This window comes from Homo sapiens, chromosome 7, assembly GCF_000001405.40.
Source record: "Homo sapiens chromosome 7, GRCh38.p14 Primary Assembly".
Taxonomy (NCBI): domain Eukaryota; kingdom Metazoa; phylum Chordata; class Mammalia; order Primates; family Hominidae; genus Homo; species Homo sapiens.
The window spans coordinates 64,613,473-64,626,104 of NC_000007.14; the positions used below are offsets into that span (position 1 = coordinate 64,613,473).

Sequence of the window (12,632 nt, forward strand, 5' to 3'; positions counted from 1 at the left end):
GTGACTCCACTAAGAAAACAGTCTGTGAGAGGAATTGAGGCTCTCGTCCATGGATCTAGTCCACTGTTGAGATTGTGAATCATGTACTTAGGCCCAACATAAAAGAGGTGTTGATTCTCATACCTGGAACCTGGACATGTGCAGGATTGTTAATCTCATTTATGAACATTCCTGCAGCTGTGATTGTGACATATGCCTCTGCCCAGCACCTGAGTGATTGAATTCTTCTGCCTGGGCTCAGCCCACAGATTGGATTGTGAAACATTGCTGAACCCAGGACCTAACTAATGTAAATCTATTCTCCTGCCTTGGCACTGCCCACTGGGAACCCTGTGACATATTGCTGCACCCAACACCCAGGTTATGTGGCTCTCCTGCCAGTGCCTTGCCCACACGGGCTGTTGTGACATATTGCTGGGTCCACACCCAGGTGATATAATTCTCTTGCCTAGGCCCTGCTTACAGAGAGCATTGTGACATATCTTTCTGCTCATCACACAGTTAATAAGACAGTTTCTGCCTGGTTTCTCCTTACAGGGTGTATCAAAACAGATTGCTAGGCCCAGCACCTAGCTGATGTGACTCTTTCTAGGTTTTGCCCACAAGGAACATTGTGACATATCACTGGGCCCAACAGCAAGGTGATGTTGCCCTTTTGCTTTGGCCTTGCTCTCAGAAAGCATTGTGACATATTGCTGAACCCAGCACCAAGGTGATGTGAGTTGGTATGCCTGGACCCTGCTAACAAGAGGCATTGTGACATACTTCTGGGACCATCATCTATTTGATGTGACTCTCCTTTTACCTGGGCTTCTGTTGTAAAAGAGATTGTGACATAACTCTGGGCCTAACAGCTAGGTAATGTGACTTTTCTTTTGCTTGGACCATGCCCAAGGAAAGAGAGTGATGTATTACTAAGCTCATCACATACGTGGTGTAATTTCTTCTGCTCGGTCTTTGCCCACAGGAATCATTTTGCTGTATTTCTGATTCATCACCTAGTTGATGTGACCTTTCTTTTTTCAGACTTGTCTGCAGCGCAGATTGCTACATATTGCTTGGCCCAGCTCCTATGTGATGTGACTCTCCTGTCATACCTGAGTGCTCCCCACTGCGGTAATTGTGACATATAGCTGGGCTCTGGCCCTAGTTTATGTAACTTTTCTTCCTGACTGCTACTCACCTGGGGGCATTGTGACATATCTCTGAACCTCTCACCTAAGTGATGTGAATCTCCTGCTTGAGCCCACTTCTCAGGGAGTATTATTATATATTGTCACACACAGCAACTAGGTGATATGACTCTCTCTACAGCTTGGACTCTGCCCAATAAAAAACTGTGATGTATCACTGGACCCAGCACCAAGGCTATGTGACTCTCCTGCCGGGGCTCTACATTCATTGTTTTTGTGACATACGGCTGGGAATAATGTCTAGGTCATGTGACTGTCCTGCATGGACCCTGCCCACAGGGGTATTATGACACATTTTTTTAGTCATCTAGGTGATGTGACTCACTTCTGCCTGGGCCCTGCCAGAAAGAATGATAGTGACTTATCACTGAACCCAGCACTTAAGTGATGTGACTCTCCTCTTTTGCCTGGACCTTGCATGTTTTTGGTATTGTGACATATTGCTGGGCCCAACACCTAGGAAATGAGACATTTTTGCTTCAGCCCTGACTACAGGCAGCTTTCTGACATTACTCTGTATCCATCACATAGGGCATACGTCTCTCATCTCTTCTGCCTGCACCTGCCCACAGGGAAGATGGTGACATAACACAACAACTAGGTGATGTGTCTCCAGCCTGGGCCTAGCCCACCAGAAGTATTGTGACAGCTGGTTTCTGAGCCCAGTGATATGTTACAATGCTCCCTGTGGAGCCCCCTGTGACACCTGGTCTCAGAAACTAGGTGATGTGACTACTGCCCAAGCCCTGCTTTTAGAAAGGAATTGTGACTTATCACTGGCCAAATGTGACATGAGCCTCCTGCCTGGTCCTTGCTTTCAGAGAAGACCATGACATATCTCTGTTCCAGCACCCAGGTGATGTGATAATACTGCCTGGGCTCTCCCCTCAGGAAGTATCAAGACATATTTCTGGACCCAGCCCATAGGTGGTATGACTGTCCTCCACTACTTAGACTCTGCCCAAGAAGCGACTATGATGTATCAATATTCCCAGCACTTAGATGATGTAACTCTCTTATGCTTGGGCCCTGTTCACATAGTATATGAAACATATGTCTGGGTCCATCACCTAGTTGATGTGACTCTTCTGCATGGGCTCTGTCCATGGAGATATGAAATATTTTTTCATTCATCCCCTGCCATTTCTCTTTTGTGCCTCTTTTGCCTGGGCCTTGCCAAAAAGAGGATTATAATGTATCACTGGACCCAGAACCTAGGTGAGGTGACTCCTATTTTGCCTGGGGCTCACATATTTGGGTATTGTGATATAGGGGATGGATGGGAGGCACATGAGTGGGCTTTGCTCACAGAAGGCCTTGTGACATCTCAGCATTCATTACCTAGGAAATGTGACTATTGTCTTCCATTTGCACCCTGCTTACAGGGAAGATTGTGACATATTGCTGGACCTAGCAACCAGGTGATGTGTCTCTCTTGCCTGAACCCTGCCCACAGGGAGCATTGTAACATATCTCTGGGCTCAGCAGCCAAGGGATGTTACTATCCTTCCCGGTCCCTGCCCTCAAGTAATATTGTACAAATCTTTGGCCCAGCACCCGGGTGATGTGACTCCCCTGCTTATTACCTACCTGCACGTGGATTTGTTACACATAATGTTGTTCCAGCTCATAGGTGTGATGATGACTCTCATATATTGAACCAGCCAATAGTTGATACAGTCTCTCATAGCTAGGCTTAGAAAAATGGATAAGATTCTGGGTCTTCTGTTTTTATAAAGGTCAGAAAGGAGTATCACACTCTCACATATGGTATAAAGTCTTCAGGTTGTACACAGTGTGTCATTGCAGAGCCCAGTGCACAGGTGAGATTTACTTGTGTGTATGCACACCCTACTATCCATTAAAATTGTAATTCTCACAGACGGACAGACCCTACTTGTAATCTCACATATGGATGCAGTCCACATTTGGAATTGTCATATGTGAACATCCAGCCAGATATGGGATAGTAAAACATTTTTAAATGCAGCTCATAGAAAGGTGAGGGCTCTCCTATCTAGACACAGAAAATTAGGGAGATGTTGACTCTTATACCTGGGGTTAAGAACACAGATATGATTATAGGTTCATACCAGCACAAATGTCTTAGAATAGATTGTGACTCTCATGCAAAACATAAAGCCCTAGCATAGTACAGAGAGTGTCCTAACAGGGCCAAGCACACAGGTGAGATTACGACACTTGTATGCACACACTTTCAACAGTAAAGATTGTCCTGCACCCACATAAACAACCCGCTGTTGAGGTTCTGAACCTCACACACAAAGCCAGCTGAAATTTGGAAAATTGAATCATGTGGATCTGGCCCACAGCTGGGTTGGTGACTCTCAGATAAAGATTCAGCACTCTTGTGAGCCTCTGACTCCACTAGGGGAAAATAGTTCACAGGAGGGATTGAGGCTTTCAGACACAGATCTAGCCACCTTTAAGACTATGACTCACGAAATTAGACCCAAAATAGAGAAGGTATTGACTCTCATACCTAGAACCAGGACGTGTGTGGGATGTTTAATATAATCCCTAGACCTTGCAGGTGTGATTGTGACATACACCTTTTCCCAGCACCTAAGTGATTTGACCCTTCTGCCTGGGCCCTACAGATGGGATTGTGGCAAATGACTAAACCTAGCACCTGGATGATGTGAGCCTATAATTTTGTCTAAGCACTTTTCACAGAGAGAATTGTGAAATATTGCTGGCCCTAACACCCAGGTGAAGTGACTTTCCTCTATTGCTTGATCTCTCTGCCCAAGGACAGATTGTGATATATGACTGGGCCCAGCACCTAGGTAATGTGACTTCCTTCTCCTGCCTGGGCCCTGCATACATTGAGTATTGTGACATATGGCTGGGTCTAACACTTTCATGATGCAAATCTGCATGGGCCCGGCCTACAGAGGTATTAGAACATATCTGTTTATTCATCACCCAGGTGACGGAGAAGAGGTGGTGATTGATTTCACTCTCCTCTTCTGCCGGGGCCCTGCCAAAATCAGGGATTGTGACATATCTCTGATTTTGCATCTAGCATCTAGGTGATGAAACCTGGTAGCATCTAGCATGTAGGTGGACCTAGCATCTAGGTGATGAAACTCTTCTGTTTTCCCTGGGCCCCACATATTTTGGAGATTATTACACATATCTGGGACCCATACCTATGGGATGGGGTGCTTCTGCCTGGGCCCTGCCCACAAGGGACCTTGTAAAATATCTTTTTATTTATCACCTAGGAAATGTGACTCTCTCTTACCTGTATTCTGCCCATAGAAAATGTTGTGACATATTGCTGGGCCATGACACCAGGTGATTTGTCTTTCCTGCTAAGGCCATGCCCAGAAGGAGCATTTTGACATCACTGGACTTAGCATACAGGCAATATTAATACAGGAGTTAAATCAAAATTATTTTAGGGAGTTAGTAAGAGTAAGGGTTCTCAATGGAATTTTTCTTTAATAAAACAGGGCCCCAGAGCTATTTGTTTTCCTAAAAGAAAGCAGCCTAAAACGTGAAGCTGTAAGCATAGATCAGCAAGCTGGAAGCTTGCATATGCAAATGCCAGGAGCTATACTAAAAGCCAGGTACACCACACATGACAATTTTCCCTCCTTTTTCTGTCATCACGTGTGCAGGTGTCATGGCATCGGCCAGGTAGAGATTACATTTACATAATAAAAGATTAGGGTAGAAGGGACATTTTCTTTGTGGGCTATGTAAATGGCACACCTGGTCAAACCAATCTCCTGGGCCCTGTGTAAATCAATCACTGCCTCCTCAATCCAATCCTCTATAAAATTGAATCTATTCTGCCCCAAACTCAGAAACCCCCTTGGGTGACCCACTTTTTCTGAAAGAGGAAGCTCTGTCTCTCCCTTTCTTCTATTAAACTTTCTGCTTCTTAAACTCACTCCGTGTGTGCGTGTCCATGTCATTAATCTTCTCTGTATGAGACAAGAAACCTCAGGTATGTCCCCACAGAACAAAGCCACTTCATTTGGGGGCTCCTTCAGAATCAGAAATGGAATGATAGGTATAAACATCAAAGCAATAAGTATGGAAGTGAACCTCAGAATCTGTCCTTTAATTTTGAGGCTATGGGCCTTATTATAAAATCAAATCAAATTAATAATGGGCATCCAAACAGCCATTTAAAAATGTGATTAGCATGGCTACTGTTCTTGAAGACTCAAATGTGAGGGTTACTGGGGAGAGGATGAATCCCCTGCAATACACACATTGGCCATGCTTTAAACCAGTTTTCTTTCATGGAGGACCTAGCCATTACATGGGGCTGGGAGAGGTTTTGGAGCAACTGAAAATTTCGGGCCAGGGCATACCCTGGTGTTATCCAAAGGCTTCTGGACTAAAGCCAACTTCTGACCACTCATCCAGGTGTTAGCAAAGAGAATCTCCATCTATCCTGTTGCAAAATTTCTCCTTTTCTATCTGCAGTCACCATGTCTTTTCTCTGTGTATGAAATGTGCAGGAATTTTTACAATTCGGGGGAACAGTTCTGTTAGGAAAGATCGGCAAATGCCATACTAACCCAATACACGTCCTCCGTGAGTACATGGTATTTCTAAGCCAACAGCACCACCTAGTGGAAATAGAAATTATCTCCATGAGGCACATTGTCAGTCTTTTGCAATACACTGTAGCTTCCCAATTCTCCCTTTTTGCACCGCTAAAAATCAGGCTCTATGCCCTTCTGTGAATGGGAAAATGCTGCCTTTAACAATTAAGAGTAAAATGTCTTCCATAGCTAAATTTTAGTTTGAATACTGTCCTATCAGCAGGAAAAATGCCATTAGGTCCCTTGTGTTCTTTAAGGCACCTATTCTGTCTCTAATTAAAATAGTACTTAATTAGTAAGGGAACTTTACATCCAAAAGTTAACCAGAATCATTTTCTAAGGGTAAATGATTTAGCATGGGGCATAAGAGTAGAATACAGAGTTCCATCTAGCACAATCCCTCCATTAAATGAGCCTTGCCCAAAGGCAACTATTACATATTCTTTCCCAAAATCCATTTTTTGGGGTGGCACACAGATCACACAAGTCTAGAAAGTCAAAGGGAAATCACAAGTGGACAAATAAGGCTATATGGGTAATTGTGGCTAAAATCCATCACCTAGTTCATCTGGTTTCATGGCTTGGAGAGGTCACACCCACAACCATGAGTGACACATTTAACATGGTGACAGGACCCAGGAACCAAGGAGAGAAAAGAGTAGAGGTGACACTCCCACTGTTTTCCCCTTCACCCTTGGTCATACCAAAAAAAAGGGAGACTAAAAGGACCCTTTTATTCTCACTTTTTCTAGATGGGCAACAGACCAACTTCAGCTTGCAACCCTCTGGAGTGCATTCTGTAACACTGGAACTTCTTTAACCTCCGGACTTTGAAGAAGAAAGCAACCATTTTCTTTTGCACAAGGGCATGACATTTATACTACACCTTTGCAGGTAGTGTAAGATCAACCCAGCTTTTTAAAAAGTCATATCAGGCAGGCTTATAGAAAATGATTCACCAGAATTAGAAAAGCAAGTTCCAGGGAAGCCATTTGAGAATCCCCCTTATTTAGAGCCATCTCAAGTTCTCTTATTACAAGACCTTAGCCAAATAAAGGAAGACTTAGGCTGATTTTCTGACAACCCCCAATAGGTATATAGAAGCTTTCCAAAATTTGACTCAGGTGTTTCACCTCACATAGAAGGATGTTGTGCTGCTCCTAAACCAAACCCTAACTGCAGCTGAAAAGCAGGCAGCTCTACAGGCAGCAGAGAATTGCAGAAATGAACAATATGTCGCCTATAATGCACCAAAATTTAAAAAGGAGAAAGTGAAGAAATAACAGAAACACCATTCCCAATAGGAAGGGAAGCAGTTCCTCTTTACAACCCTGGTTGGAACTCCAATAGCTCTGCAGATAAATGGAAAAAAAAAAAAACACTTTAATATGCATATTAGAGGGTTTATGAATAGGGACAAATCTCTTACTCTAAACTGTCCATGAGGACAAATCTCTTACTCTAAACTGTCCATGATAGACCAAATGCCAGAAAAGAGTCTTGCAGCCTTTATGAAAAGGCAGAGAGAGGCACTAATAGAGCATATCTCCTTTTCTTCTGATCCAATCAACAAATAGTGCATTCTAAAGGACAGGTTTATTACGCACGAAGCTCTCGATATTTTTTTTTTTTTTTTTTTTTTTGAGACGGAGTCTCGCTCTGTGGCTCAGGCTGGAGTGCAGTGGTGCGATCTCAGCTCACTGCAAGCTCTGCCTCGGGATTCACGCCATTCTCCTGCCTCAGCCTCCCGAGTAGCTGGGACTACAGGCGCCCGCCACTGCACCCAGCTAATTTTTTGTATTTTTAGTAGAGACAGGGTTTCACCATGGTCTCCATCTCCTGACCTCGTGATCCGCCCGCCTCGGCCTCCCAAAGTGCTGGGATTACAGGCGTGAGCCACCGCGCCAGGCCAAGCTCTTGATATTAAAAAAGAAACTACAAAAGCAGGCTATAGAATCAGATAGCACCTTAGAGAACCTCCTGAAGGTAGCCACTTCAGCCTTTTATAATAGGGACCAGGAGAAAACCCAAGAGAAAGCGAGGAAACTCAGGAGAAGGACAAAGGCTCTAGTAGTTGCTTTGCAAGCCTGCAATGTCCAGGATTTCCAAGGTTCATCTGCTCATTGCTATCAGTCTGGCAAGTCAGGGTACTTTAAGAAGCAGTGCCCAAGCATCAAGAAGAAGCCACCTCAACCCTCTGCAGGCTGTGGCAGAGACACTAGAGAGCAAACTGCCCCCAGAGATGAGGTCACTAGATTCAGAACCAGTCTCACAGATCGTTTGGCAGGAATAATGGGTCCTAGGGACCCAACCCCCAGCTCCAGCAGCTCAAACTGCCATTATAGCCTAGGATCCCAAGGTGATTCTGGAAATTAAAAGAAGGAAGATAATCATCCTTCTAAACAATAGAGCCAGTCTCCCTCTTTTCTGTTCTCTAATTCAGGTCTCCCCTCTTCCTGTAGCCACTGCCATGGTGGCTCTACTACTTAGAAAAGTCTCCAAATTAACCCTGGAAATTATAATCATAATTCTCTTTAATTATACTAGAGAATTTAACTTACACCCCACACAACATGACACAATTACTGTCCTCTAGGGGGACCTCTTAGGTAACAAATAGCCAGTAAAGCAAAAAATACATAAGGCAAGATACTCAGTAGTCACTCTAAACAACGTTATTAAAAGTGTGTCTCTCTCCCCAGCACAAACGCTCAATTAGCTGAACTGATAGCTCTTACAAGAGGACTTGAATTAAACAAAGGAAAGGTAGCTAACATTTACACAGACTAAAAGTATGCTTTCTTGGTTCTTCATGCTCATGCTGCCATTTGGAAGAAAATACATTTTCTTACCGCTAATGGATCTCTTTTAAAGTATCACCAGAAAATTATTCTCCGTTTTTCTTCCATGAAAAATAGCAATGATGCATTGTAAGGGACATCAAAAGGGAACAGATGAAGTAGCCGAAGGAAATACGTTAGCTAATCAGGCAATTAAGTCAGCAGCAAGGAAGCCTTGAGGCATCAACACACTTCAAGCCCCTCTAACCTGGGAAGGCTCCATAAGAGAAATTAAGCCTCAGTACTCCCCTGCAGAAATAGAATGGGCCACTTTTCGAGGGTATATTTTTAGACCTCAGGATGGCTACAATCAGAGGATGGCAAACTCCATTCGCCAGCCTTCAGCCAAAGGAAAATCCTTAGAATCTTTCACCAAGTTTTTCACTTAAGAAAGGATAAAACTTATCACTATGCCCAGAGATTGTTTTCAGAAGAGAACTTACTAAAAACAGTCAAATAGGTTGTTAATTCCTGTGAAGTCTGTCTTAAAAATAATCCACTGAACAGGTGGCTCCTTCCTCCTAAAACCCAAAAAATAAGAAGCTATCCAGGGGGAGGACTGGCTGATAGACTTCACCCGCATGCCAAAGACAAAGGGTATCCAATACCTTCTGTTTTGGGTATATACTTTTACTAACTGGGTGGAAGCATTTCCATGCCATACAGAAAAGACCTCTGAGGTAATAAAAGTGTTAATTAATAAAATAACTCCAGCCAGGCGCGGTGGCTCAGGCCTGTAGTCCCAGCACTTTGGGAGGCCGAGGCGAGCGGATCACGAGTTCAGGAGTTCGAGACCAGCCTGGCCAACATGGTGAAACTTCGTCACTACTAAAAATACAAAAAAATTAGGCATGGTGGTGCACACCTGTAATCCTAGCTATTCAGGAGGCTGAGGCAGGAGAATTGCTTGAACCTGGGAGGCGGAGGTTGCAGTGAGCTGAGATCATGCCACTGCACTCCAGCCTGGGTGACAAAGCGAGACTCTGTTTCAGAAAAAGATAAACAAACAAAAAAAACCCCTGCTTTGGTCTACCTAAATACCTTCAAAGTGACAATGGCCCCTCATTTAAGGCAGCTGTCACATGGGAGTCTCAAATGTGCTAGGCACAGAATATGGTCTCCATTGTGCTTAAAAATCCCAATTCTCAGTAAAGGTATAGAACAAATGATATTATCAAGAGACACCTTAAAAAACTTGTCACTCTTCTTCCCATGGCCTTACTATGGGTAAGAAATATGCCTTCCAAGTTAGGTGTAACCTGGGTGCGGTGGCTCAGGCCTGTAATCCTAGCACTTTGGGAGGCCGAGGCTGGTGGATCACAAGGTCAGGAGATCAAGACCATCCTGGCTAATACGTTGAAACCCCATCTCTACTAAAAATATAAAAACAAAATAAGCTGGGTGTGGTGGCGGGCGCCTGTAGTCCCAGTTACTAGGGAGGCTGAGGTGGGAGAATGGCATGAACCCAGGAGGCAGAACTTACAGTGAACCGAGATCGCGGCACTGCACTCCAGCCTGGGAGACAGAGTGGGACTCTGTCTCAAACAAACAAACAAAAACAAAGTTAGGTCTAAGCTCTATAAATGGCCTTTTCTTACCAACGATTTTTCTATTAAAGCAGAAAACCTAATTTGGTTAAGTATGTAACCTCTCTAGCTCACTTCCAACAAAAATTAACACAACTAGCAGTAGCCCAACCCTAAGAAATAAGACCACCTTCATTTAACCCAGGAGATTTGCTATCAGTAAATCTCATGCCTCTCTCTCTCTTTCCCTAAGCCCAAGCTGGGAAGGGCCCTACACTGTTTTTTTTCAACCCCCTCTTCCCTTGGCAATAAAAGTTACAGGTATTTGCTGGGCGTGGTGGCTTATGACTGTAATCCCAGCACTTTGGGAGGCCAAGGTGGGCGGATCACCTGAGGCCAGGAGTTTGAGACAAGCCTGGCCAACATGGTGAAACCTCATCTCTACTAAAAATACAAAAATTAGCTGGGCTGCATGGTATGGGGCTGTGATTTCAGCTACTCGGGAGGCTGAGGCAGGAGAATCGTTTGAACCCAGGAGGCTGAGGTTGCAGTGAGCCAAGATCGCACCACTGCACTTCAGCCTGGGCGACAGAGCAAGACTCCATCTCAAAAAAAAAAAAAAAAAAAAAAAAAAAAAAATTACAGATATCAACTCTTGGATACACCACACTCAAGTCAAGTCCTGAAGAGCTGAGGGAGCAACCCCTTACAAGCCCAGAGGAATGTCCTGAATATCAGTGTGAAGAAATAGAAAATCTTAAGCTGAAAATCATAAAAGATAAGTAACTTAGGGCTACTCATCTTGCTCACTACTACGTCATTGGACACTTTTTGTCATTTCTATTTTTCCTCTCCAAGTTTGCCGCCAACTATTAAAACTTCTCTTTTAACACATATTTACAAGAAAATTTTAATTATTCATAGGATTGCATTTGTAACTTCATAGAACCCCAAAGGGAAATTCTATACCTTGGCAAATAAAATTTATAAATAAAAATTACTACATCACTCTTGTGGGAGTTGCTAAATTCACTCTACTATTTGTAGTAGAACTATACACTATGGAACTCACAGTGTGGAATTCTAGTTGTAAAATTCTAATTGCCATAATACTTTGCCTAATTATCATCTTTATAAGAGGAATAATAATTGAATAATTGTAGAAAAAATTTAGTCAAGGTTGCTTTGCTTAATTATTATCCCTATAGCAGGGGTAATAGTTACAGACAAGAAGTAAGCATGAAAGTTATACTATCACTGAGCTTGACAGGACTTTTTATTAAAGATTGGCAATATGGTGCACTCCAAGCTATGGAAAGAAGGTTATAAAAGAGATTTTATAAGCAAGGCTTTTATGGTAAATTCTTGTCCTAAAAAGACTGGTTGTTTAAAGGAAGGATATTTAGGACAAGTCAGAAAGTTTAAGAATGTTGTAAGATAATCTGTGGAAGTCATGAAAGAACTTAATAAAGGAAAGAAATGGCCAAGATTAACACTTAAGTTACTTTAGCCACTGAATAATGTATTTCTCTTAATCATATCACAAGTTATAAAAAATTGCCCGAACCTAAAATTATCTCCTGACGGCAAGCCAAGGGGATAAATGTATGTGTTTCTCAAAGAAAAATGTTACTTTTACAGTAACGTTTCTGGTAGTCTACAGCGACATCTAGTGGACATCTACCTGTATTACAACTAATTGAAATAGTAACAGGTATCAAACTCTGCTGTCATAGTTATGGCCTATAGTACTCTCACTAATAATAATAATCTTAATACTCATGTTAAAACCCTATATTCTAAAACTTCTTGTAAAATTTATCTTTTTACCTAGAAAAAAACTCCAAATGGCGCTGCAAACAGAACCACCCATAGACATGCCATTCTTCCGAGAACACTTAAATAAACCTCAGGAGGAGCCCCAGCTGTTGATCCCCCACACGACACCCCTTTTCAGCAGGAAGTAGCCAGAAATATTCGTCGTCCAACACCCCCAACAGCAGTTAGAATACTATCTTCTGAGGGGTGAATAACATAGGAGTTTAAAAAAATATATTTTAGGCAGTTAGCAAGGGTAAAAGAGTTCTCGGTGGAATTTTCCTTCAATGAAAAGCAGCCAAAAAACCATCTCTTTTCTAAAAGAAAGCAGCCTGAAAAGTCAAACTGCAAGCATAGATAAGCAAGCTGGAAGTTTGCATATGTAAATGCCAGCAGCTATACTAAAAGCCAAGTACACTCAAAGTGGCGATTCCCTCTCCCTTTACTTTGTCACCATGCATGTGGGTGTCCACATTTGCATAATAAGATTAGTGTGGGAGGGCCAGTTTCCTCGTGTGCTATGTAAATGCCACACCTGGTCAAACCAATTTCCTGGGACATATATAAATCAATCACTGCCTCCTCAAGCCTCTCTATAAAATTGATCACATTCTGCCCCAAACCTGGAAACCTGCTATGGTGACCCACTTTCTCCGCAGGAGG

At 43.0% G+C, this 12,632-nt stretch overlaps 1 long non-coding RNA gene across 1 annotated transcript in view; it reads left to right on the forward strand.

The window, feature by feature from the left end:
* Nucleotides 1-5,117, forward strand: part of LOC100128885 (uncharacterized) — a 43,895-nt gene extending 38,778 nt beyond the window's left edge. Inside the window, exon 3 of the long non-coding RNA NR_077227.1 lies at nt 1,027-5,117. This is a non-coding gene — a long non-coding RNA (uncharacterized LOC100128885). The remainder of the gene's footprint in view (nt 1-1,026) is intronic.
* Nucleotides 5,118-12,632: the final 7,515 nt, after the last annotated feature.